The sequence below is a fragment of the Homo sapiens genome, chromosome 6 (genome assembly GCF_000001405.40).
Source record: "Homo sapiens chromosome 6, GRCh38.p14 Primary Assembly".
Taxonomy (NCBI): domain Eukaryota; kingdom Metazoa; phylum Chordata; class Mammalia; order Primates; family Hominidae; genus Homo; species Homo sapiens.
Window position 1 is genome coordinate 143,048,955 of NC_000006.12, and position 26,989 is coordinate 143,075,943.

The 26,989-nt window shown below is 39.9% G+C and overlaps 1 protein-coding gene across 24 annotated transcripts in view, besides 6 other annotated features; it reads left to right on the forward strand.

Moving 5' to 3' along the window:
* The first annotated feature begins 10,258 nt into the window (after positions 1–10,258).
* The window catches only part of AIG1 (androgen induced 1), a 284,671-nt gene continuing 267,940 nt past the window's right edge, over positions 10,259–26,989 (forward strand). For 16 of the 24 annotated variants that reach the window (NR_158960.1, NM_001366346.1, NM_001366344.1 and 13 more), the window contains exon 1: positions 11,935–12,112. Coding sequence is in view for 22 of the 24 variants with exons in the window: in NM_001366346.1 (NP_001353275.1) it covers positions 11,972–12,112 (141 nt within the window). In the remaining 2 variants the exon portion in view is untranslated. Of the gene's footprint in view, positions 10,457–11,508; positions 11,784–11,934; positions 12,113–12,259; positions 12,642–26,989 lie in introns of those variants that run through there. The other 8 variants (NR_158896.1, NM_001366351.1, NM_001366359.2 and 5 more) reach the window with 5 other exon arrangements.
* Positions 10,931–11,869: an enhancer, noted in NCBI's record as "H3K27ac-H3K4me1 hESC enhancer chr6:143381022-143381960 (GRCh37/hg19 assembly coordinates)". NCBI's record gives its function as "activates a minimal SCP1, AML or CMV promoter by ChIP-STARR-seq in primed H9 embryonic stem cells {active_cell/tissue: H9 hESC(primed)}" and the evidence as "EXISTENCE:reporter gene assay evidence [ECO:0000049][PMID:30033119]".
* Positions 10,931–11,914: a biological region, named in NCBI's record as "H3K27ac-H3K4me1 hESC enhancer GRCh37_chr6:143381022-143381960".
* Positions 11,695–11,824: an enhancer, noted in NCBI's record as "active region_25192". NCBI's record gives its function as "activates an Ori minimal core promoter by ATAC-STARR-seq in GM12878 lymphoblastoid cells {active_cell/tissue: GM12878}" and the evidence as "EXISTENCE:reporter gene assay evidence [ECO:0000049][PMID:35858748]".
* Positions 11,825–11,914: a silencer, noted in NCBI's record as "silent region_17623". NCBI's record gives its function as "represses an Ori minimal core promoter by ATAC-STARR-seq in GM12878 lymphoblastoid cells {active_cell/tissue: GM12878}" and the evidence as "EXISTENCE:reporter gene assay evidence [ECO:0000049][PMID:35858748]".
* Positions 12,165–12,234: a silencer, noted in NCBI's record as "silent region_17624". NCBI's record gives its function as "represses an Ori minimal core promoter by ATAC-STARR-seq in GM12878 lymphoblastoid cells {active_cell/tissue: GM12878}" and the evidence as "EXISTENCE:reporter gene assay evidence [ECO:0000049][PMID:35858748]".
* Positions 12,425–12,474: an enhancer, noted in NCBI's record as "active region_25193". NCBI's record gives its function as "activates an Ori minimal core promoter by ATAC-STARR-seq in GM12878 lymphoblastoid cells {active_cell/tissue: GM12878}" and the evidence as "EXISTENCE:reporter gene assay evidence [ECO:0000049][PMID:35858748]".

The window sequence follows — 26,989 nt, forward strand, 5'->3', positions numbered from 1 at the left end:
GTGGGGCAGTTGGTGGGGATGGAATATACGGGAATACAGGAACTCTACTTTTTGCTCAATTTTTCTGTAAACCTAAAACTGCTCTAAAAATAGTTTATTATTTCAAACAAAAAGAAAAGAAAAGCTACCCTAATAAAAGTTTAGACCCAGCTCTGCTACTGTTGTTGCAGGATCTTTGGGGTGTTGTTTTTCTGGCCAGAAACCTCTGTGGCCAGTGGAGCCTTTGCCTGAGTTCTTGTCCTGCATCTGGGAAGAATGAGGTACCAGATAAGTGGAAGGTGAACAAGATGAATAGAAGCTTTATTGAGTGTTACAACAGCTCGGAGGAAACCCACAGTGGGTAATTCCTCTCCATAGACAGGTCATCTTGCGGAATGTTCAGCTCTCAGCAGAGAGGAGGCCCTGAGAGGGTAGCTCCTCTATGCTGCTGGTCCTCCCATCCTCTCTCCATCCTCTGCCCTGCTCTTGCTGAGCTGGGGCTTTTATGGACCTCAGAGGGGAGTAAGTGCGTGCTGATTGGTCCATGGGTGGCCATGGGTGGGCCTGGAGGAGGCACCACAAGTCCCTACTCCAGTCTGCAGGACTGGCAGCCTGGCCCTCAGCCTTCAGGCCCTCCTTGGCTTGAAGGTGGGGCCTTACTGGGGACCCATCCCCTTCCGCCCAGGAATCTGTCTGTCTCTCCTGCCATTCATAGTCCTGGGGCTCAGTCCCAACCCGGCTCTGAGATTAGAGCAAGCACAAGGAGAGGAGAGAGGCCAGGCAGTGGGAGTGGACATCCCCGAGCCAGCAGAAATTGAATGGGTGGGGCTTTCCCAGGCCCCTGGGGATGCAGGCTACAGAGACGCCTAGGTCCTGCACCTGGGAGGGCAGTCACAGCTGCACCCAGCGAGCTCCTGCTCCACCAACTCGGAAGGGGCAGGTCTCCAACTTGTCCCCGGCTCCTGCCTGCTCTGTGGATGGAGTGGGACAACCAGGTCTGCAGCTGCAGGTCGGGCAGCTGCAGCGGCACCCAGGAGGGCAGACCCTGCCTGCTTCTGGCTCCCCCGCTGTCATCACTACCAACTGACTGTGATGTTAGGAAAGTAATTTAACTCTTCTGAGCCTCAGTTTCATCATTTATAAAATGAAAGACCTGAGCTAGATGATCTCTAAGTTTTTCTCCATAGAAGATTCTGTCATTCTGCATCTATCAATATAAAGATGTCTGGCCTCTGACATATATTAAGGTAGAAAGAAAGAGGATTTTGAACAAAAATAATTAATCAATTTAAGTAAAACCTAAAGGGACATCTGGCAAATTAAAATTTGCTTAAAATTCCAGCAAATAAATGAAAATGAATATAATTCTTGGATGAATCTAATGATGGAATGTAATTTACGTGAAAGAAATAATGGGGAAATGGAGCATACATAGGAATTTGATGAAGCATTCATTTCAAGAAGAAAGGTAACACCAGATGGCTCAGATATCATAAAATAAAATGGCATTGCCAAATGATAACAAAAAGCTTGTCAATACATGGAAAGTCTACAAAAATTATGAAATGATGTGTGACTCTTGGAATTATTATCTAGAATTTTCTCATCCTTATGAATCAGACAATTATGTCTACAGAGATGCTGAAATATAGGCATTGTTTCTGCCCGATATGAATGTGAATCAGAACCTAGGATAGGATATGCACTGACTACCTATCAAGCAGCTCAGTGTAATGTTTAAGAACCAAAATGCATGGGTTTCCTATCTTAGCTCTGCCATTGACAGGTTGTGTGACTTTGGGCAGTTTATCTAATTTACTCTGTTCTTCCATTTCCTCTTTTGTAAAATGGAGATAATAGTAACCATCCTCAAAGAGGATAAAATGAGTTAAAATTTGTAAAGTGTAAAGCTCAGAGCCTGACCCATAGTATTAGATGCGTGTTTGTTATTTTTTAAAAAATGCATAAAATTTGAATCCTGGTCTCCTTAAGACTAGCCCACTATCTTATAATTCAGCACTTTTTATTTTATTTTATTTATTTATTTTTTGAGACAGAGATTGGCTCTGTCACCCAGACTGGAGTGCAGTGGTGTGATCTCAGCTCACTGCAACATCTGCCTCTCAGGTTCAAGCAATTCTCCTGCCTCAGCCTCCCAAGTAGCTGGGATCTGGGATTATAGGTATGTGTCAGTACGCCCGGCTAATTTTTTGTATTTTTAGTAGGGATGAGGTTTCACCATGTTGGCCAGGCTGGTCTCGAACTCCTGACCTCAAGTGATCCACCCACCTTGGCCTCCCAAAGTGCTGGGATTACAGACGTGAGTCACCACACCCAGTCAGTTCAGCACTTTTTAAAAGGATAATCATAAAGGCGGGGCACGGTATCTCATGCCTGTAATCCCAGAACTTTGGGAGGCCGAAGCAGGTGGATCACCTGAGGTCAGGAGTTCAAGACCAGCCTGGGCAACATGGAGAAACCCCCATCTTTACTAAAAATACAAAAATTAGCTTGGCGAGGTGGTGCATGCCTGTAATCCCAGCTACTCAAGAGGGTGAGGCAGGAGAATTGCTTAAGCCCAGGAGGCAGAGGTTGCAGTGAGCTGAGATTGCACCATTGTACTCCAGCCTGGGCAAGAGAGCCAGACTCCATCACATAAAAAAAAAAAAAAAAAAAAAAAGGCTGGGGTTCAGTGGCTCATGCCTGTAATCCCAGCACTTTGGGAGGCCAAGGCAGGCAGATCACAAGGTCAAGAGATTGAGACCATCCTGGCCAACATGGTGAAACCCTGTCACTACTGAAAGTACAAAAATCAGCTGGGCGTGGTGGCGGGCACCTGTAGTCCCAGCTATTCAGGAGGCTGATGCAGAAGAATTGTTTGAACCTGTAAGGTGGAGGTTGCAGTGAGCCGAGATCACGCCACTGCACTCACTCCAGTCCGGCAACAGAGCGAGACTCCGTCTCATTAAAAAAAAAAAAAAAAATTGAATACCAGGAAATAACCCCACATATCTCTTTGTACCACCATTTTGCTGCACATAAGAGAACACTGTACTCCATTGGCTTAAACAAATAGGGGGTTGTTTTTCTTAAATCACAAGAAGTCTGGAAGGTGGTAACTGCCCACTTGGTTCAGCAGGTTATTGATATCAGGGCAAATATCTATGAAATTCTCTGTTCTTTCTCTCACGCTTACAAGATGGCAACTGCACCTCCAGCCATGATACGCACAGTGAATTCAAAAAACAGGGAAAGAAAAGGACTACACTAATAAAATATTTCTCAGCAGTCCTTCCAGCAGATTCTGACTTGACTCAGAATCATGGCTTGGCCCAGCCACCTCACTGTATTCCAGGTAATCTTCTAAACGTCCTTGTGGGTCTGATCATCTTCTACAGCCACAGCCTAGACATCAGTGATGTGAGCCATTCATCTGCTTTTTTTTGACAGGTGAAGTTTTGAGGGGAATGGAAACCGGATGCTGAGCTCCTGGGGGAACAAGGTGTCAGAACAAGCTTTGGTTCTGACAGGCCTGCTAAGGTCTTCTCTCGGGCGAGGGAAGCTGGAGTCCTCTGGGCTCTCAGTTGGCTAGCGTCACAGATAATTTAAACTGGCTTTTGGCACTTGGCAGGGCAGCTTGGTGCTAACATCTCTCATGGCAAATCCCATGTCTCTTGAAAACTAAATAATGGTGCTTAGTTTAATTTTGTTGCACTCCTCTTTTGTGCTGGATGTTTATTATGCTAGTTTCTAAAACTGACTTTCAACTACCTCTGTGGATGACTAACACAGGGGCCCAATAAATGGACTGCAGGCATTTTAGCTGCCTTTAATTCAAGGGAAAAAGTTACTTAATATGGTAAGAAGTATCAACCCATCCTATCATCCCTGCATTCCACATTTCTGTAATACTGCTTTGTGCAGAGGCTATCAATTTCCCCAAAGCCTTGCCTTCTATGGACAGAGTCTGGGTACAAAGAGGATAGTTTAATTAGCTGCTTCACATATCTCAAACTATTGGGAAATAAGATTTCCATCTTACACAAGAGAGGGAATGCCTGCTGATAACTGCCTCACCTATGGATTGGCTACTTGGATGTGAAGAGCATCCCAGGGCAATTCCTATTATATGGGGGATGGTCATTGTGCAGGAATGCCCAAGGGTTGAGATGCCACAGACATCTTGAGAAGATGCCATGATTGCATTTAGTATAATGTGAAAGTGCTTTCTAGATGGCACAGTACTATGCAAATGCAGGCATTATTATAGAATTTCAACCAGAGCTGGCCCTTGGAAGATGAGTAGAATTTCAGCAGATGGAGAAGGTAATATGAATCATTAGTGCTTGAAGGGTGTGGAAAAGTAAAAGTAAATGCTGAGTTTTGGGAGAAAATATGTATTCCTATAATAACGGAATACATAATTATTTAGAAAGATGCAGTTACAGAAGTTCAAAAACGGGGTTAAGGTCAGCCAAACCACAGAGGATGTTGAATGCCATGCTAAGGGAGTGAGATTTCCTGCAGGTCATGAGAAATCACTGACAATTTTTTAGGAGAGAAGTAATCTAATCTGATCTATATTTTCAGGAAGATAATCCTAGTGGCAGTGATAAGGATGACATGGAAATGCAAACGTGGAGGCAGTAAGACCACTTACAGAGCTTACTCAGTAAGGCAACAGCAGGAAAAATAGACTTGAAGGTTCAAATTGGAGAAACGTTGCAGAGAACAAATTACTAGAATTATACTATTGATGGGAAATTGTGGTAACAACTGTTAGTGGTCTCCTAATATCTCCTTTCTCTCTTGGATTAGTCTGCTTGGGCTGCCACAACAAAGTAACACAAACTGGGTGGCTGAAGTGACAGAAACATATTGTCTCTCAGTTCTGGAGGATATACCTCTGAAATCAAAGTTTCAGTGGGGTTAGTTACTTGTGGGGGCTGTGCGGGAGAATCTGTTGCACGCCTCTCTCCTTGTTCCTAGTGACAGCAGGCAGTCCTTGATGTTTCTCCCGTGTGTTTCTGTCTTTTCTTCTCTTTTTCTTTTTTCTTTTCTTTTCTTTCTTTTCTTTTCTGTTCCTCCTCTCCTGTCTTCATTCTTCTTCTTCTTCCTCTTCTTCCTCTTCCTCCTCTTCTTCTTCTTCTTCCTTTTCTCTCTCTCTCTCTCTGTCTCTTTCTTCTTCTTTCAACAGAGTCTCACTTTGTCACCCAGTCTGGAGTGCAGTAGTGCAAAACCAACTCACTGCAGCTTCCACCTTCTGGGCTCAAACAATCCTCTGACTTCAGGACTCCTACTTCAGTCCCAAGTAGCTGGGACTGCAGGCAGATGCCACCACACTCGCTTAATTTTGGTATTTTTTGCAGAGATAGGGTTTTGTCATATTGCCCAGGCTGGTCTCCAACTCCTGAGATCAGGCAATCCCCACCTATCTCAGCCCCCCAAAGTGCTGGGATTACAGGTGTGAACTATCGCACCTGGCCTTTTCTGTTTCTTTATAAGGACACCAGTCATATTAGATAAGGGACTCACCTTACTCCAGTATGATGTCATCTTGACTAATTATATCTGCAATATCCCTGTTTCCAAATAATGCCACATTCTGAGGTACTGGGAATTAGAACTTCAACATATCTTGTTAGGGGACACAATTCAATCCAGGACATCTCATTTCCATGCTAATGGAGTTCTGATTTCCGGCTGGCACATTTCTACCCAGAAAGGAGGCTACTTTTCCCAGCTGTGGCCACATGGATAAATGTGGGCCAAAGAAGTGAAGGTGGAAGTGTTGTGTGACAGTATCTTCTGCAAACTTTTCTTAAGGGTCAGTGTACATGCCCCTTTTGACTCATCTTCATGTTTTCCTCCACCCTGCTTTAAGAAATAGAGTCGTAAATTCCAGCCAAAGTAGCCTTAACTCTTACAGATGAGGAGGAGGGCTTGAGTAGGATTCCAAACTGGGCCTGCCAGGGTCCTGCAGACACTGTGGGTAAGACATTCACAGGGCACTCTTTCAAACAAAAAATCCAGAAATCCCAACTGCAGTCCACTATGAGCTGACTCTAGCACAAAGGTGGGCATTTTTTAATTTTAATTTTTGGCTGACACAATTTTTAAATATTTGAATGGAAATGTCTTTACTAAAGAGTAAATGGCATTTGCTCCACTTTTTCAGAGACTCAATCGTGCCCTATTACCTTACATCTAGATTTACTTATGATACATGCCTGATCTTTAAAGAATTTGACTATTATATCCTTTAAATATTCAACACTTATTTAGAATAGAGGCTGAAGGCTTCTATTCTAGAATGATCTAGAAGGATTGGAGAAGGAAGGTCCTCTGGTAGGATGTCCACCTCTTCTCTACTACTCAGAGCAATTTAGCTCTGCTCCAACTCCTAAATACTTCATTCAGCAAAACAAAACCTGTGCAATTACTCGAATGACAGCAGCAGTCCTTGGGATTCCTGGGATCCTCATCATTCCAATCTCTGTCTCTGCCTTCACATCTCATTTTCCCTGTGTATCTCTGTCTTCTAATAAGGATGCCAGTCAAATTGCATAAGGGACCCATCCTACTCTAGCATTATGTCATCTTGACTAATTACATCTGCAATGTATACCCATCGGGGGTGGAGATTTTATAATCATTTACTGTCACTCTAGAATGCTTTAGAAAGTCTCTCTCACCAGTCACCACCATCCATCCAACCAAGTAGCTTGTGATAACATTTCTTTTAACATCATACAGTAGTCTCCCTGAGAAGAATTTGGGTGAGTATATTACTTTCAACTTGCTAGCTTCCAGGGACATTTTAGCACCATTAAGAGACTGGCACCTCCAGGCCATCTGGCTCTGTCCTGACTTTTCTAATTGCAGTGGGTCAGTTTTTGAGGAGGAAATAATGAGTATAATGAATGCATGTAGGATTTGTGTCACCAGTAAGCCATCCAGGTAGACCATTCAGAGCAGGGTGGCTACAACATATGTCCCAAAGAGGGACTGTCAGATGAAGTGGACTTAATTGAGTCTTGCTGGATGTGTTGGGTTTGGATACATGCACACGAAGAGAGAGCATTCCAAGCTTGATGAGGAGCACTGGTAAATGCACTTCTAGTACTAGAGAGTGACGGAGATGTTTTGCATCTGTATGAGATCATGCAAGACTCACGACTCATCTAGACCCTAATTTTTCTAACACTTTTCAATGACCCTCCATAGAATCCTCGGTGTTTAGAAATCTTATAGAGTTCTCTGTAGCAAAAACAGTCCATTTTAAAATCAGTGAAAACTTGCAGCATCAACACAACCACTAGTAGCTGCTGCTCATTTGGCCTGTAAAGAACAATTTTTACTGGTTAATAGCAAAAAAAAGACAAACAAACAAACCAAATCCAAAACAAAAAAACAACAACCCCCAAAACAAACACAAAAAACACCTGGCTAATTAAATGCATTGGTACTGCATTTTGTGTCTATGGCAATTTGAAAAAGCTGTAATAAGCATCAATTGTAAGGAAAAAAAAGAGTAATTTTTACCTACTTCTTTCTCTTAATCTTTCCCAACTGCCCTCCAGGGTAAAAGAACTCTGTCACCTCAGTTCATATAAACAAACATGAACAACACACAGTAGGTTCTAGAAGTGTAGTTTCTTAATTGGTTTTGAGTTCCATATAATCCTAAAAAGTAGCTTTCTCAATTCAAAATACAGACATTACTGTGTATTTAGTGGTGAAAACTTTAAAAGAACATAAATATCCAAAAAGAAAAAAAGTTTAAGCAAAATATATGTCCATATGATGTTGTGCTATGCAATCATTAAACATGAGTTTTACAATGTTTTAAATAGGAGAAAATTGCTATTAAACTTGAGGCAGAAGAAATCTCTGTGATGCAAGTTGTTATATAGTATGTCACAATCAGCTAACTCTATATTGTAAAAGACTTGCAGGAATATGCTAAAATGTTCATTGTTTTCTCTGGGTGGAGAGAGTGGGGAAAATGTTTTTTTAAAAGTAGCGTTTCCATTTTAGTATCATAAATACGCTACATTTATAATGAATAAAAATAATTCAGAGGTATCTTTTCTGTAATACTGAAGACTTTTTCCATGCCCAGGCCTCTGAGGGGGACATGTCCTAACTTTCACCCTTGAAGTACAGATAAATGGGGAGAAAAAATTTGTTCCAAATATATTGATATTGTTAGAAAATGCTTATCTCATGTAAATGCAGAACCAAAGGAAATGTGTAAATATCGAATACTGCAAGGATATGTATAAACACAATTCTTCCTCCTGAACTTTTAAGCAACGACCAATAGTTACATAAAGTTGGCTTCTTGGAATACAATTTAAGGGTGACATAGGAGTCCCAGTCATTTCCCAAATTAACAGGTATTATCATCAGTATGTCAGACAGACATCCTCCCTGATACGGTTTGGCTGTGTCCCCACCCAAATTTCATCTTGAATTGTAGCTCCCTTAATCTCCACGCATTGTAGGGGGGGAACTGGTGGGAGGTAATTGAATCATGGGGGCAGGTTTTCCTGTGCTGTTCTTGTGATAGTGAATAAGTCTCAGGAGATCTGATGGTTTTATAAAGGGCAGTTTCCTGCACACACTCTTTTGCCTGCCACCACGTAAGATGTGACTTTGCTCTTCCTTTATCTTCTGCCATGAGGGTGAAGCCTCCCCAGCCATGTGGAACTGTGAGTCCATTAAGACTCTTTTTCTCTATGAATTATCCAATCACAGGTATTTCTTCATAGCAGTATGAAAATGGACTAATACACCCCCCCTCCAAAAGAAAAAAAAGGAATGAACAGTCTGTCTCAATTATTAGAAGTACTTAAGAAAGGGTATCTTCAGCCCCATATATAGTCTAAGAAATATTACAACAATCAAAGAATATAGCTTGAAGCTAAAACGGGTTCTTGAAATCTTCCCTTGGTGTTTCTTATGTTTACTGCTATTGATGAAATTCAACTGGATGAGGCTTTTCTCCTCCAGTCTCACTAACTGTGTAGTAGAATGAAAAAGATAAAAAAAAAGACATGCAAATATTTCTTCTATACATAGAAAACAGTATTATCTAAATCAAATATGGAATCATCATAAGAATACTTAGAAGTGAATAATGTATTATAGTTCATAAAAAGTAATAACTTACCTAATGAAGTTTTAAAAGCAATTGTTTACGCTGTAAAAACACAATGTGTGTAGATTAATATTTTCCACAAAAGTTATCTGTAAAACATGACTAAGATTGTTAGATATGGTCTGAAAAGCACAGAAAGCAAGCCTGGACATGTTAATAGTTATCAAGAAGTTCCAAAAATTGTGAACTGACATTCTCATAAAATAGTATTTGAGTCAAGTTTTATACAAACGCTTCATTTTTTTAAAGCACAAAACTATCTGATCATGGTTGGCAAATCATGAAAAAACAAAAGCAAACCCAGCAGAATAGGTTCTAAATACTTAATTAAGAGTTATAGTTATTTATTTAAAAGAAACTGGTCGGGCGCAGTGACTCACACCTGTAATCCCAGCACTTTGGGAGGCCGAGGCAGGTGGATCATTTGAAGTCAGGAGTTCAAGACCAACCTGGCCAACATGGTGAAACCCCATCTCTACTAAAGATACAAAAAAAATTAGCCAGGTGTGGTGGCATGCGCCTGTAGTCCCAGCTACTTGGGAGGCTGAGGCAGGAGAATAGTTGAACCCAGGAGGCAGAGGTTGCAGTGAGCTGAGATCATGCCACTGCACTTCCGCCTGGGTGACAGAGCTAGACTCTGTCTCACAAAAAAACAAAAAGAAAAACAAAACAAAAAACCTGACCATTAAAAATGGCTTTATGAAAATATTATTTCATTTTGTAACAATGGGGTTGGGGAGTCTTAATAATTGTCTAACATGTAAAGTAGGAAGGGTATATCAAACTTTGCAAATATCACATTAACTCATAAAACTTTATTAAGGCTCTATTGAGAGGTGAGGCCAGCTGGACCTCCTGAGACAAGTGGGGACTTGGGGAACTTGCCTGTCTTACAAGAGGAGTGTAAAATGCACCAATCAGCGCTCTGTAAAAAGCACCAATCAGCACTCTGTAAAACACACTAATCAGCACTCTGTAAAACGCACCAATCAGCAAGATTTTAAAAGTAGCCAATCGCAGGGAGGACTGAAAAAAGGGCACTCTCATAGGACAGAAACAGAACACTGGAGAGGACAATAAGGGAATAAAAGCTGGCCACCCCAGCCAGCAGCAGCAACCCGCTCCAGTCCCCTTTCATGCTGTGGAAGCTTTGTCCTTTCACTCTTCACAATAAACCTTGCTATCGCTCACTCTGGGTCTGTGCCATCTTTAAGAGCTGTAACACTTACCACCAAGGTCTGCCGCTTCATTCTTGAAGTCACTGAGACCACTAATCTACCGGCAGGAACCAATTCCAGACACATTATTAAGGTAGGTAGATCTTCAATAGATCTACTCTTTTTTATTTTTATTTTTTTGGCAGTTTATAACCATGTACCAAGGATGCACAATTAAAAAAATAAAGCCAACTTTTACATTAAGATTTAACCAAAAATCATCAATAATACATCGTTTTAATGCTAGTAGAATCTTCTTCTGACATCAGTTCTATTAGCATAATTATAATGCCAATTAAAAAAATCTAGTGGGTCTCTTCATTTTAGTTTAGAGCTTGATTGGAAACATTCAGGAAAACATCCATGGCTTGCTTGCTACTTTCTCTTTACCTCTAGCACTATGCTTCTCCCCACCAGCCCTCCCTCCACATCCTCTGACTCAGAGACTATTTGAAGAGGACACCTGTTTTAAATGGATCCACAGGAAATACCTATGTTGCCTTTTCATAATCCGAACCTGCAACTGGTTGGCTGAAATGAAAATGTTGCCCACAGACTGATGCAACTTCAGTGTGACAACATTTACTGGAAGGCAGGAGGGACTCCAGTTTATATTTATTTTCCTTCCATTAAGCCCTGGTAGTGTAGTGTAAGAAAAAAGTAAGGGCAAAACCAGTTTAACAACCAGATGATTAGTATTAAATTACACGCAGGGGTTTTACATCCAAAATTGGAATTTTTTAAAGCTGAATGCAATCTTGTGGCAGAAAGTTATTTGAAAATCCTTTCTTTATAGCTTTTTATCTATAAACCTCTTGTCCAAAGTTCATATTCTAGCTGATGTTATATACTGATATGACATTATTCAATCTGTCATGGAAAAGTGCTGCGTAGCCTACCCATTGAAAGCAGAATTGAGAGAGTTTCCTAGTGATTGACAGTCGTTTGTCAACACTGAAAACCTTATTGCCCCAAAATACTGAAAGTCACTCGCGGCTGCCTGTGCTCGGGTTTACACCCCACGTTCACACCCCCACCGGATCCCTCCGCACGGGGCACCAGCTCTCGGCCAACTGCAACTACCCCAGGAAGCGTCACCGCGATTCCGGGGCGGGAACATTTGTGGACACTGGGGTCCACTCCTTCAGTCTAGGTTCCCCGCCCCCTCGCCCGGCCCGGCGCCCACTAGCCACAGGGCCCGCTTCCCCCTGGAGATCAGCGCGCACTTCCCGAGCCCTCGTAGCACTCAGAGGTCGCATCCACACCTGGGATGCCTAGGGGGCGCCTCCTGGCCGGGTGTCCCGGGACCCTGCGAACGCAGGAGCAGAATGACGAAGGTGACGAAAGAGATGACGACACGCCGCCTGCCAGGCCGCGGCCGGCAGTGGAGAGCGTCCGCAAACCGCGCCCGGCCAGTACAGGTCACCCGGGCGCTCGCGGCCGCGCCAGTCCCCGGGGGCGCGCGCCCCGCCCCCGCCCCCGCCCCCGCCCCGCCCCGCCCCGCGCCCGCGCCCGCGCCCGGGTTCCCACGGCGCCCGCCCCCGCGCGCCCGGCGCCTCCCTCACGCCCGCCCTCCTTGCCGCCCAGCCGGTCCAGGCCTCTGGCGAACATGGCGCTTGTCCCCTGCCAGGTGCTGCGGATGGCAATCCTGCTGTCTTACTGCTCTATCCTGTGTAACTACAAGGCCATCGAAATGCCCTCACACCAGACCTACGGAGGGAGCTGGAAATTCCTGACGTTCATTGATCTGGTAAGGCCGTCCCCTCCCCCTGCTCGCCCCGCACCCCGTGCCTGTGTGTGCGTGTGTGTGTGTGTGTGTGTGTGTGTGTGTGGATGCGCGAGCACCTGCGCACGTGCGCGCCTCCAGCATCCACCCGTGTCCTCGCCTCTTCCCCAGTGATTGCGTGTGAAGGCCTGGCTGCCCCCGCAGCGGCACCTTCTGAACCACTCACCGTTACCTGGTAGCTGGGTACCCTTACCTGGCAACTGGGGGACAAATGGAGGTGGGGCGCAGCCAGGTGGTGGGCTCTTTGGAGGGGGACACCGAACTGCTTCTAAGAGGTGACACGGGAAGAATCTTCAACAAAAGCATCGGACCTGATCCTGAATGGCCTGAGACCCATTCGCCCTCAAGGTGCTTTTCAGAGCACCCACCGTGGGATGAACTTGTTGCAACTGAAGGAAACTGGGTATTGTCTAGTGATTTGGAACTTCACCTGAAAGAACCAAATCCTTCTCATAAGGGAGAGAAAGCACCTAATAAAGTTGTCTTCTTTGCATCTGTTTTTTTCCCCCATTGTCAATAATTTACTTTCAACCTTTACCCCGTACATATTAGGAGACAGAGATGTTCAAAGTGCATTTCCAAGGTGACTGTACACACTTCTCTGTCTTCCCATGTACAAATTTACAGTAGTTTGCATAAGCAGCTCCTCTGTTGGCACAATATGATAATCTTGACAGGTGCAGGTTATTATTAGTATATCATTTTGAAAGTTTTTCTATTTCTGGCACTAAAAGGCCCTCTTCAACCTCCCTGGAGAACAGAACATGGGCATAAGGCCCAATAATGAACTCATGGATGGACCTAGGAATTTCAGGGTAAAGGTGACTAAGACACACGCTAAAAGATTATTAGGAAGAGGCTTAAAACAAAAGCAATGAAGTTCTAAAGCACTCAGAGAAATTGTAGAACCAATTCCTGGGACTCCCTGAACTGTTTATCCAAGACTATACAGTTGGTTGGCTACACCAGCAAGATTATAATCTCTTGTTGACCCTCCATTCTGATGAAGAGAACATGATACCTGTTTTAAAAATTTCCAAAGGCTTAGGATGCCTCAAAGAAATGCAGAGAGGCTTTTGGTTTAAAAATAACACCTTATATTTGCATTATATTAGATACTTTCAGAGTGGAATTTCAATTCTGTTGCCCAGCAGTCTCCAAACTGTGCACATACCCTTAGGCCCACAAGACTTCACAGGGTATAGAATGTTGCAAGGGTTTTAATTTTCAGATCCTCATCTTCCAACTCTGCTTGAAACTAATTTCCCTCTGAACATGCGTGATGCCTGCCAGTTCTCCTTTCATTCTCCCCATTCATCCAAGTGAGGAGCCCGTGACAAGACTCTGAGGTGTGCTTTTCTGTCTGTTCCTTTTAGCTTCCAGAAGATAGATGGTTGTCACCAGGGCTATCTTTATATTTGATTGAACAACAATGTCGGAGTTGCCTTGACAGAAAGTCTTATTGGGTTGATTGGCTTGTCAATGAGGATTGGCTTTGCCAATTATGTTGTGTAGCAGACATTTTCTGTATACTGAATGAGCTAAATCTGCAACCCTGAGGTTCTGATGCATATGTATATGAAGCAAGCATACCACCCATAGAGCGCCAGAAAGATGTCCCTTTTTCAAGTGTTTACACTTAACTATGTTAAGGATGTTGAGATGTTATTTAAAAATATGTGCATAGATTTTCAGAATTCTTTGAGGGGCTATGTGAGCAAAACTCCTTTTGGGACACTGCCTTATCCCATTCCTAAGTCAGATCTTACTTAGAGCTGGCCTATTTGAATGTTGCTAAAGAGCAGTGCTGGGCAAGAATACAGAGATGCTGTGGGAGCCATAGGTTCTAGAAACAGCCCTCAGCATCACTCTTGCAGTAGATGCTGTGTTGTGGGAGCAAGGCAGGGGTCAGCAGGTGAACAGAGGTAGAAATTGAGGGTGTTGGTTAACCCAAGAGATGCCTGCTTTTCATAATTAGCATTGCTTACTGTGCATTGAAAAACAAGGCTCAGAAGAAATGATATACCTCTCATAACCTTTGTGTGACATGAAACCATAGTAGAGTCAGCTTGATATGCTGTCATATAATTTATCTTTTAGCATTCAATGATTGGACTTGCCTGTTTTAAATACTAATCACCATACAGGACTTTTTCTATCCCAGAAGTCAGACAGTAGATTCAAATGTGAAACATTTACTTTGCTTCATATTTAGCTTCAGATTGTATAGGACCTTTAGCCAGCGTTGTAATTTTTTACTCTGTGGCTCCTGATTGAAACATAATAATTATCTTTAACAAAGAGTGCCTGTGAGAAAGTATGTCTGAGATATATTCATAAAAACATTCATGCAAAGTGTTATTCTTTTTATTATTTGAGATTTAGAATCCTTAGAGCTTAAGCATTGTACAGCTGTTAAAACAACCAACCTGTCAATCCTCAGTAATGGCATGAAATGATTAGGCTACTATAATTTAGCCATTTTACTTTTCACTTTTAATGTTAAAAAGACCGTAAACTTTATTACCTAGTGCCTTGTACAATATTAATGAGTCTAAGTTTATTGGAGTAATTTTGCAAGAGTTTAACTTTTTAAAATTGTAATGTGAAGGCCCTTTTTTCTAGCCAACTTGGATTGCAGGAATCATTTATCCTGATAGCCACAGTTGGATTCCATATTCCATGGCTTCAGTTTACCAGGATCTGAGTCAGGAATCTCAGGCTCTATGCATCCAGGAGCAGATGATTATGTGGCAGTGGCCATTCTGGCTGTATTCATTTCTCTCCTTGGGTATGAGGGTCATTCCAGTAGATTCAGAGCTTATGGTCAAAAACTGAAATACACATTGTTGCTACCAGTAATCTTATACTGTTATTCTCCAATGGTTTCTTTTCCTAGTATTGAGAAACTGTAAGAGAACTAAGGTGTTTTTGGAAAATTGAAGTTAGTAAATGGAAAAAGAACACTGTCTTGGTGTGGTAGGCAGAATAATGGGCCTCCAAAGATGTTTACATTCTCATGCCAGGAACCTGTGAATACATTAGGTTACATGGCAAAGGGAAATTAAAGTTGCAGATGGAATTAAGATTGCAAATCAATTGACCTTAAAATAGGGTAATTATCCTGAGTTATCCCATTGGGCCCAATGTAATTACAAGGGTCCTTAAAAGGAATAGGGAAACAGAAGACAAGAGCTTGTTGGAGGAAGATGTGACTGGAAGAAAGTCAGAGAGAGATACGACAATGCTGGGTTTGAAGATGGAGGATGGAGCCAGGAGACAAGGGGTGTGAGAGGTGTCTAGAAGCTGGAGAGGACAAAAAAATGGTTTTCCTCCTAGAGTTTCCAGGAACACATACCTGCTGACAGCTTAATGGTAGTGTATTTTGGACTTCTGACCTCCAGAATTGTAAAATAATAAATTTGTGTCATTTAAGCCATTCAATTGATAGTAATTGGTTACCACAGTAATAGAAAACTAGTATACTTGGCTTTAAAGCCTCTGACTTAGAAAAAAAACTTAACTCTTTTTGTACTTATATGAAATAAATGCAGTGACTCAGCTAGCCCTTTATGTATAGTAGATAACTGGTTAATTTTAGCTTTAACAAAAATGCAAGTTTTTTCCTACTTCATCCATGAAATTATGTGGAGGAGACATACATATGTGTAACAGTGGGCAATATGAGGATTTGTAAAGACTGGACTGTCAAGCGTGTCTGTGTGAAGAGACCACCAAACAGGCTTTGTGTGAGCAATAAAGCTTTTAATTCACCTGGGTGCAGGCGGACTGAGTCTGAGAAAGGAGTCAGCGAAGGGAGATGGGGAAGGGGTTGCTTTATAGAAGTTGGGTAGCTAATGGAAAATTACAGTAAAAGGTGGTTATTTATTGTTAGCAGAGAAGGGGGTGACAAGGTACATGGTGGGGAGATCATAAGACTTATTGTCCAGAAGAAGAATGTCACAAGGTCGGTTGATCAGTTAAGGTAGGGCAGGGACAAGTCACAACGGTGGAATGTTGTAATGTTGGTTAATCAGTTAAGGCAGGAATTGGCTGTTTTACTTCTTTTGTGGTTTTTCGGTTGCCCCAGACTTCTTGGCTCCTGCAGGCCATCTGGATGTATATGTGTAGGTCACAGGGGTTACAATGGCTGAGCTTCGGCTTAGAGGCCTGACATGGACAACTTTGGAAAAACTAGGTCTTTACTATGAAGTATTTCAGAGACTATCATTAAGTAACATGTCAGGCCAGGAGAAGAAATACACTTAATTGGAAATAAGCTGGAAAGAAAGAAAATTTAAACTAGCTGTTACTCAAATATTAACACTTTCTTAGTCAATATCACAGCTGATGAATTTTCTTCAAGTGATGTGGATTCATTCACTAGCAAAATGATTATGCTGTGTGTTACATGATAATTGCCCCAAAAGATAATAAAGAAGAATTAGGATAAAACCAACATAAATAAATGAAAAGAAAAAGGCAAATGTATTTTGAGGTCTTAAAGTAGTATTTGGGGTATAATAGGTGTTTAGTAAATGTTTAAGTAAATGGAAGCTTTCTCTTCCCAAATTTTCATTGAGTATTCTTTTCTTGTCCTGTCTCCTCCCAAAAACATTCAAAATGATAGGAATTTAAAAATGTATCAACCAGAACATTATTCATATGTATATGGTAGAGTCTAACAGATGAGTCAGAATCAACTTCTTTGAAAACCATGAACTGGATTTTTTAGAAAACTTAAAATATTGATGATGGATGTAAGACATCTTGATTTTTAAAGATTGAAACATATCTGGGAATCCCATTGGCTCTAGTTTGTAGTACTGGCCATTTTGAGAGTCATCCTCTCTTAGGGCCGTATCATACCCATTATTCCTCCTAGACTGGCTTTTCATTCATGTCATGGCAGAATATTGTTCAGGCCCTGCCTACTCAAAGTGCGGGCTGAGGACCAGCAGGATCAACTTTGTCTGGGAGCCTGTAAGAAATGTGGCATCTCCAGCTCCACCCCAGAGCTTCTGAATCAGAGTCTGCATTTTAATAAGATCATCAGGTGATTTCTATGCACATTCAAGGTTGATAAATGCTGCTCTAAGTTGCATTGTTTTTTCATTTACATGGATTAATTGTAGGACCCTGTAGAGCAGTCTTAATATATGAATTCTGCCTATTTTCTTTGTTTTTTTTTTGAGACAGAGTTTCACTCTGTCACCCAGGCGAGTGCAGTGGTGATCTTGGCTCACTTCAACCTCCGCCTCCCAGGTTCAAGAAATTCTCCTGTCTCAGCCTCCCGAGTAGCTGGGATTACAGGCACCTGCCACCACACCTGGCTAATTTTTGTATTTTTAGTAGAGACAGGGTTTTACTATGTTGGCCACACTGGTCTCAAACTCTTGACCTCAAGTGATCTGTCTGCATTGGCCTCCCAAAGTGCTGGGATTACAGGTGTGAGCCACCGCGCCTGGCCTGAATTCTGCCTATTTTCAAAACATATTACAGATTGACTTTCACTGTGATATAACAAAAAAATGTAAGAAATTACAATTTGAAAATAAAAGAAAGATATGTTTCAGATACGAGAGATGGGTTAGTTATTGCTATTGAGAAACAAATTTAAATAATCTTCAGGGCAACTAAGGTGAAAAACAATACACATTTGATTGTATTGTCCTTATGTTGAAAGAAAGGAGGTATAACAATTTATTGGGAAAAATACAGTTCTTTCCAGGCACTGACTTTTCAAGGTAATTTATCACTCAGATATTTATTTAAAGAACATTAAGGGTGGGTATGGTGGCTCACACCTGTAATCCCAGCACTGTGGGAGGCCATGGTAGGAGGCTTGCTTAAACCCAGGAGTTCGAGACCAGCCTGGGCATCACAGCAAGGCTCCCACTACAAAAAATTAAACATTATTTGGGGGTGCTTGCATGTGCCTGTAGTCCCAGCTATGTGGGGGCTGGGGCAGGAGGATGACTTGAGCCCAGGAGTTCGAGTTTGCAATGAGCTATGATAGTGCCACTGCACTCCAGCCTGAGTGACAGAGCCAAATCCTGTCTGTAAATAAAAATAAAAAAAAAACATTGGTTAGCATAGTAGATAATGTCTTTGATTGGTTTTTAGTGTAATATATAGAAAAATTTTTATGGTTAATGTTTCTTATTTGATGGTTTTATGAAAGCCAAAGGCATGGTCTTATATTTTGGCTAGGTGAAGGCATTTTTGTAGAAGTTTAAGGTAATATAATCTAGGTACTTTTTTTGTTATCTAAATCTGTATTGCAAAGGAATTTCAGAAAACCAGAGAGAGATGAGGATAAATAAAGTCTCAGATGTGGAAAAGCTTGGGGTGCTCAAAGAATAGGAAATAGTCAAGTGTACCTGGACGATACCATTTTTGCTTTTAGACATGCTGAGAATTTTTGACATTTAAAAAATGTTAAAGAGGGAAAATAAGCTGCTTAAGTATACTACATTTTGCATTTGAGTTAGTCTTATATTTATTTACATACTTATCATAAAACATATTCTTGTCTCTAGTTCATGACTTAATTTTAAATAGGAAATAAAATACCTTGAGAAGAGATTCTGCATGTCATTATGTAACTATGGTACTTAGTTTTGCCAGTCAAAACCACACATTGCCACGTGAAGGCCAGTAGTTTATTGAGTACTCAGGGAACAAAATTAGGTGGATTTTTTTCTGTTTTTTGTTTTTTGGGGTTTTGGATATTATACAGAGAGTGTAAAATTGCAATTTTTTTCTTCAGGAGACTCAGACTTGACCCTAAAATATGCATATAAACTTGAAGGCTCAAATAATGTTTTTTCCTAACCTGGAGGAAGAATTGTGAGAATAATGCTTTGCATAGAATCCTCTTCACCTTCTTTGCATGTTTCTTTTGGATCAGGCATAAAATAGGGGCCTGGTTTTGTTAGAGTGGGGGAAATAGTTGATGATATAATCACCCATTCCCTCTTAGTTGCAAATGGTATTGAAATTACAGAAAGTCATCTGACCACTAGTTGAGGTCACTTCTTTTCCCATTCCTGCCATTCCCCCATGTCTGGTATAACATTTGGCAAAATTGGTAACTGCTCTTGAGGGTTTTCATTTGTTTCTGTGTGTTCCTCTGAAATGTCATGTTTCTGGGGGAAGCAAGAACAACAGTACAATTTTCCACATTGAATCAGATGTTCATGTGATCCAAGCGTGCTTGGAAAAATCTTACTGCTTAGGATTCTATACAACATAGCTCTCTTGTGCAGTCTGTAGTTAGACAGTTAAAGGGCCCATGCCTCACCTGCAGGGTAGCCCTTCTGAGTGCGGTGGAAGCAGAGCTTTCTTGGAAAGTGAGACACCACTTGATCAGATCCATTGTGGAATTGAACAAGATGTAAGACAGAAGCATGGAATTCTGAAAAGTCAGACAATGCATTAGTGCACTCACATTGTCTTATATTTAGGTCTGTCAGGTTGTGTTATAATTTTAAAAATTAATTTCAAAAGCGATACATACTTATTATAGAAAATTTGTGCAAATACAGGAAACAATAGAAATACAGGGAAGAAAATATAGTCCATCTTAATTCTCCCTAATTTTCCTTGCATCTTAGCATTTTAGTGCTTCAGGATGGTATTTATTTTGGAACTTTAGTACATACAGGAACATAGAGAGACTACAGTATATATGTATATGTGTGTTCATACGTATGTAGTCAGATATCAGAAAAAATCATATTCTTTAAAACTTATTTTAAAATTACGGATATCACTTAGAGATACTGATGTTAGTATTTTGATATTTGACTTTTCAGTCATATATATACTTCTGTTAAAAAAACAAAAAATTCAATATGAACATATGGTTTTTATAAATTCTTCATCCACATACACTAAAATTTATTCCTTTTTTTTTTTTTCTCTTGAAATGGAGTCTCACTCTGTCGCCCAGGTTAGAGTGCACTGGCGTGATCTCGGCTCACTGCAACCTCCATCTCCTAGGTTCAAGTGACTCTCCCGCCTCAGCCTCCCGAGTAGCTGGGATTACAGGTGCATGCCGCCACTCCTGGCTAATTTTTTTGTATTTTTAGTAGAGACGGGGTTTCGCCATGTTGCCCAGGTTGGGCTCGAACTCCTGGGCTCAAGCGATCCACCTGCCTTGGCCTCCCGAAGTATTGGGATTACAGGCATGAGCCACCGCGCGCGGCCAATTTATTCTTTTTAGTATACAATACTGTAAGTTTTGACAGATGCATAGTTTTGATAGATGCACAGTTTTGATAGATGCACAATTTTCCAGAGTGGATGTGCCATGTTGCATTACCACCAGCAATGTGTGAGAGCTCCACAGATGGGAACTCATATTGTATCTTCAGAGTGTGGCGTTGTCAATTTTTCTTTTATTTCAGCCATTCTAATAGGTGTGTAGCACTATCTCATTGTGGTTTTGAGTTCCCCTCATGACTGAAGTTGTTAATTATCTTTTCCTGTGCCTTTTAATAATATATTCATGTTCTTTGTGAAGTTTGCCCATTTAAAAAATACTGGGTTGTTTTATTATTATTAAGCTTTGAGAGGTTTTATGTTTGCCAAATGAAAGCTCTTTGGCAAATATGTGATTTGCAAATGTTTTCTTCCTGTCTGTAGTTTATTTTATCAATAGTGTCTTAAACAGAGCAAAAGTTCATTTTGATGATACAAAATTTACCATTTTTCTTCTTTTTATGGAACCTCCTAGAAGTTTTAAAGTTTTAGGTTTTACATTTTTATCTATAATCCTTTTTTTCTGGTATATGTTGTGCAATTTTCCCTGCACCGTGTCTTGAAAAGATTGTCATTTTGCCATTGAATTACGTTTGCACCTTTGTCAAAAATCAATTGACTACATTTGTGTGTCTGTTTCTGGATTCTGTTCTGCTCCACTGATGTGTGTGTCCCTTCACAGGTACCACACATTGTTGATTGCAGCTTTATAGTAAATCTTCGAAGCAGGTAGTGAGAATCATCTAACTTTGTTCTTTTTCAAAATTTGTTTATGCTATTCTAATTACTTTTCCTTTTTGTTTAAATTTAGAATAATCTTGTTAATATCTACAGATAATTGTACTTGGATTTTTTAGTAGAATTTAATTGAATCTATAAAACGATTTGGGGAAAGTTGGACATCTTAACAATATTTACTTTTCCAACCCATGAACATGACATATCTCTTCATTTATTTAGATTTTTAAATTTCTTTCATTGATGTTTTGTAGTTTTCAGCATATAGTTTGTGCGTGTATTTTGTTAGGTTTATACCTATTTTATTTTTGATTAGTGCTATTGTGAATGGTATTTTTAATTTTTTTTTAGAAATTTTTATTTTCTTAGTCCATTTTGTGTTGCTATCACAGAATACCACAGACTGGGTAATTTATAAAGAAAAGAAACTTATGTCTTACAGTTCTGGAGGCTCAAAAGTACAAAAGCATGGTGCTGGCATCTGGTGAGAGCCTTCTTGATGCACCATAGCATGGTGGAAGGCATCACAGGACAAGAGAGGCATAAGAGAAAGAGCCAAACTAGCTTTTATGACAGACCCACTCTTGTGATAACTAACTCTCCTGTGATAATCTGTTAACACATTAATCCATTAATGGCAGAATCCTCATGACTCAATCACCTCTTAAAAGGCCTTACTTCTTAATACTGTTAGATTGGGGATTAAGCTTCCACATGAATTTTAGAGACAAAAACATTCAACGGCAGTGACCCTTTTATATTTAATTGACATTTTAATTGAGGTAATTGTAGATTCACTTCAGTTGTAAGAAATACAGAGAGATACTGTGTAGGCTTCACCCACTTTCTCCCAGTGGTTACACCTTGCAAAACTGTATTATAATATCACAACCAAGATATTGATATTAAAACAGTAAAGTTATAGAACCTTTCCATTATCACGAAGATACCTCATGTAGCCCTTTTATGGCCACAACTACCTTCTCCCTTTGACCCATCCCTAACCTTTGACAGCCATTAATTTGTTCTTTCTATGATTTTTGTCATTTCAAGAATATTGTGTATCCATAACCATACATATGTGACTTCTGGGGATTGCTTTTTTTAAAAATCAGAATAATTACCTAGAAAGTCACCCAAGGTGTTACATGTATCAGTAGTTCGTTCCTTTTTAATTGCTAGTAGTATTACATAGTATGCATACACCACAGTTTAGCCATTTATCCGTTAAGGGATATCTGGATTGTTTCCAGTTTTGGCTATTATAAATAAAGCTGCTGTGGACATTCATGCAGAGGTTTTTGTGTGACCATAAGTTTTTATTTCTCTGATATAAACATCCAAGAAGAAAAATGCTGTATTCTGTGATAGTTGCAATTTTTAGTTTTACCGGAAGCTACCAAATGGTTGTCCAGAGTGGCTGTACCATTTTATATCTCCACCAGAAATATGTGACAGATAAAATTTAGCCCCATTCTTGCCAGTTATTTGATGTTGTCAATATTTTTAATTTTAGCCATTTTAATTGGTGTATAGTGATATCTCATCGTGGTGGTGGTGGTAGTGGTGGTTCTTTTTTTGTTGTTGTTGTTGTTGTTCTTCTTCTTCCTCCTTCTCCCTCTTTCTCCTCCCCCTCTTCCTCCTTCTTCTCTTCTTTTTTTTTCTTTTCTTGTGTGTGTGTGTGTATGTGTGTGTGACTGAGTCTCGCTCTGTCACCCAGGCTGGAGTGCAGTGGCATGATCATAGCTCACTGTCATCTCAAACTTCTGGGCTCAGTTGATCCTCCTACCTCAGCCTCCCGAGTAGCTGGGACTATAGGCATGTGCCACCGTGCCCAGATTGTTTTTTTTTAAATTTTTTTTTTGTGCAGACAGGGCTTTGCTGCATTACCCAGGCTGGTCTCAAACTCTTGGCCTCAAGTGATCCTCCCATTTCAGTCACCGAAAGTGCTAGGATTACAGGTGTGAGCCACTATGCCTGGCTCATTGTGGTTTTAATTTTCATTTTTCAAATGGCTAACGACGTTGAATATATTTTCATGTGCTTACTTGCCATCTGTATATCCTCTTTAGTGAAACAAATAGTACTGTTTTGTTAAATTTTGCTTTCTGGTTGTTTATTGTTAGTGTATAGACATATTTAATGTGTATATTTTGACCTTATGTCCTGGTGATTTAACTAAACTTATTTATTAATTCAAGGAGCTTTGCTTTAGATTCTATGGGAGTTTCTTTTTTTTATTTAGACTATCATGTCACCTGTTAATAGAGACATTTTATTTCTTCCTTTTCAATATGGATAGCTTTTATTTCCTTTTTATGGTTTATTGCCTTGGTTAAGACTTCTAGTAGGTTTTAGGTAGATGAGGAGAGAGCAGATATCCTTAGAAGGATCCTTTCTTGTTTCTTGTTCCTATCTTAGGAGGAAAACATGTAGTCTTTTGCAATTAAGTATGATGTTAGATATAGATTTTTTTTTTGTATATGCCCCTTATCAGTTGATCAGTTGAGTAAGTTTCTTTCTATTCCAAGTTTGCCGAGAGATTTAAAAAAACTACAAATGGATGTTGAATTTCGTCTTATGCTTTGATTTGTTCATATGGTTTTTCTTGACTTTTTTCCAAATTTTTAAAAAATAAATTTCATTGTGTGTATTTAAGGTATACAACATGATGTTATGGGATATATTTAGATGGTAAAAAGATTACTGTATTGAGGCAAATTAGCATATCCATTATTTCACAGATTTGCCCATTTTTTGATTTTGTGGCAAGAGCCACTAAAAGCCACTTGTTTAGCATGAATCCCAGATACAGTACAATTTTATTACATAGAGTCCTCATTTTGTACATTAGATGTCTGGACTTGGTCATCCTACATATCTGCTACTTTATGTCCTCTGACCTACTTCTCCCCATTTCCTCCCCACTTCCCACTCCCGTGCCTGGTAACCACTGTTTTGTTTTCTATCTCTGTATATTTGAATTTTTTTTGGATTTCACGTATAAATGAGACCATGCAATATTTTTCTTTCTCTGTCTGGCTTATTTTACTTAGCATCATGTCCTCTAGGCTCATTCATGTTGTGACAAATGGATCTCATTCTTCTTTAGGGCTGAATTGTATGTATATATACACTGCAGTTTCATTGTCCATTTGTCTATCAACAGAGAGTTAGGTTGTTTCCATATCTTGGCTATTGTGAATGATGCTGCAATGAACATGGGAGTGCAGATATCTTTGTGAGATGGTGATTTCATTTCCTTTGGTTATATGCCCAGAAGAGGGGTTGCTGGGTATATGGTGGTTCTATTTTTTATTTAATTTTATTTTTTAGAAACCTCCATACTCTTTTTCGTATGGCTCTACCAACCTACATTCCTGCCAACAGTGTACAAGAGTTCTCTTTTATCCACACCTTTGCCAACATTTCTTCTTTTTTGACGTTTTGATAATAGCCATTCTAATGGGTGTGAGATGGTATCTCATAGTGGTTTTGGTTTTCATTTCCATACCTGAGACTGGGTAATTTATAAGAAAAGAGGTTTAATTGGCTCATGGTTCTGCAGGCTGTGTAGGAAACATAACACTAGCATCTACTTCTGGGGAGGCCTCTGGAAGTTTACAGTCATGGCAGAAAGTGAAGTGGAAGCTTGTATGTTATATGGCAAAAGCAGGAGTGAGAGAATTAAGTGCTAAACACTTGTAAACAGCCAGATCTCACGAGAGGTCACTCACTATCACAAGGACAGCAACAGGGATGGTGCTAAACCATTCATGAGAAATCACCATGATCCAATAACTTCGCACCAGGCCTCACCTCCAACATTGGGGATTACATTTCAATATGAGATTTAGGCAGGAAAACACATTCGAACTATATCAGTGATATTGAGCACCTTTTCATAGACCTGTTGGTGATTTTTATGTCTTATTTGGACAAATGTCTATTCAAGTCTTTTGCCTGTTTTTAATTGGGTCATTTGTTTTTCTATGATTGAGTTGCATCAGTTCTTTATGAATTTTAGATGTTAAACCCTTATCAAATGTTGGTTTGCAAATATTTTTCCCAATTTGTAAGTTGCCATTTGATTTCATTGTTTCCTTTGCTGTGCAAAAGACTTTTAGTTTGATGTAGTCTCATTTATTTACTTTTGATTTGTGGCCTGAGCTTTTGGTATGATATCCAAATAAATAAGTAAATCATTGCCAAGACCATTTTCTGGGAACTATTCCCGTGTATTCTCTTCTAGGAGTTTTATAGTTTCTGGCCTTACATTGATGTCGATTATGCATTTCATGTTGAATTTTGTATATGGCGCAAGAGAATGGTCTAATTTTATTCTTCTGCCTGTGAAAATCTAGTTTTTCCAGCACCATTTATTGAAGAGATTATCCTTTCCCCATTGTGTTCTTTTGGTGGCTTTGTCAAAAATTAGTTGACTATATATCTTTGAATTCATTTCTGAGCTCTTGATTCTGTTGCACTGGTCCATGTTTATATCAGCAACTTACTGTTTTGATTACCATAGCTTTGTAGTGTAATTTAAAATAATGATGTGCGATGATTTTTGACTCGAACCAAGCTTGCATTTGTGGGGTGAATGCTACTTGGTTATGAGGTATTGCTCATTTTAGATATAGCTGGATTTAATTTGCTAATATTTTGTTGAGTTTTTTTGCCTCTCAGTTCATGAGGAACATTTGTCAATAGTGTGTTTTTCTTTTATTGTTTTTGGCTTTGATATTAGGATATGTTGGCCTCATTCCTCTTAAGTGTTCTGGAAGAGATTAAGCAAAATTAGTGTTACTTCTGTCCAGAATGTTTGGTAGAATTTACCAGTGAAAACCACTGGGCTTGTGCTTTTCTTTATTGGAAAATTTTATTCACAAATTCTATTTGATTTCAAAATGTAGGACTATTAATGTCAATTTTTAAAACAGATTTGGTATCTTTCAAATAATTGGTCAATTTCATCTTTCAGCATTTCCTTTTTATCTTTCTCTTATTGTCTGTAGGGTCTGTAGTGATAATCATACTTCATTGCTGATATGGGTAATTTGTGCCTTATCTCCTTTTTCTTTATCAGTCTGGGTAGGAGTTAAACAAATTTTTATTGATTTGTTTCAAAGATCAGCTTTTGATTTTTTTCGTCTATTTTTATTGTTCTCAATTTCATTGATTTCTCTCTTTTTTTGTTGCTGTTTTTTGTTTTGTTTTGTTTTTTGAGAAAAGGTCTCACTCTGTCACCCAGGCTGGAGTGCAGCTCACTGCAGCCTCAACCTCCCAGGTTTAGGTGATCTTCCCACCTCAGCCCCCCAAGTAGCAGGGACTACTGGCACACACCACCATGCCCAGACAATTTTTTGTACTTTTTGGTAGGGACGGGGTTTTGCCATGTTGCCCAGGTTGGTCTTGAACTCCTAGGCTCAAGCAATCCACCCCACTCAGCCTCCTAAAGTGCTAAGACCACAGGCATAAGCCACTGTGCGAGGCTGATTTCTGTTTTTAACTTTTATTATTTTCTTCCTTTTGTTTGTTTTGGGTTTGTTTTGTTCTTCTTTAACTAATTTCTTAATGGGGAAGCTTACATGATTAATATGAACCCTTTATTCTTTCCTATATAAGCATTCGATGCTAAAAATTTTACCCTAGGCACCACTTTAAATGTATCTCATGCTTTAATACATCTTATTTTCATTCAATTAAAAATATTTTTAAAAATTTCCTTTGATTCTATTTTACAGTGAGTTGTACACTATATTTTTTTACAGATAGCTTTTCATGGTTTACTTCTAATTTAATTACATTACAATCAGAGATCATTGTTTGCAT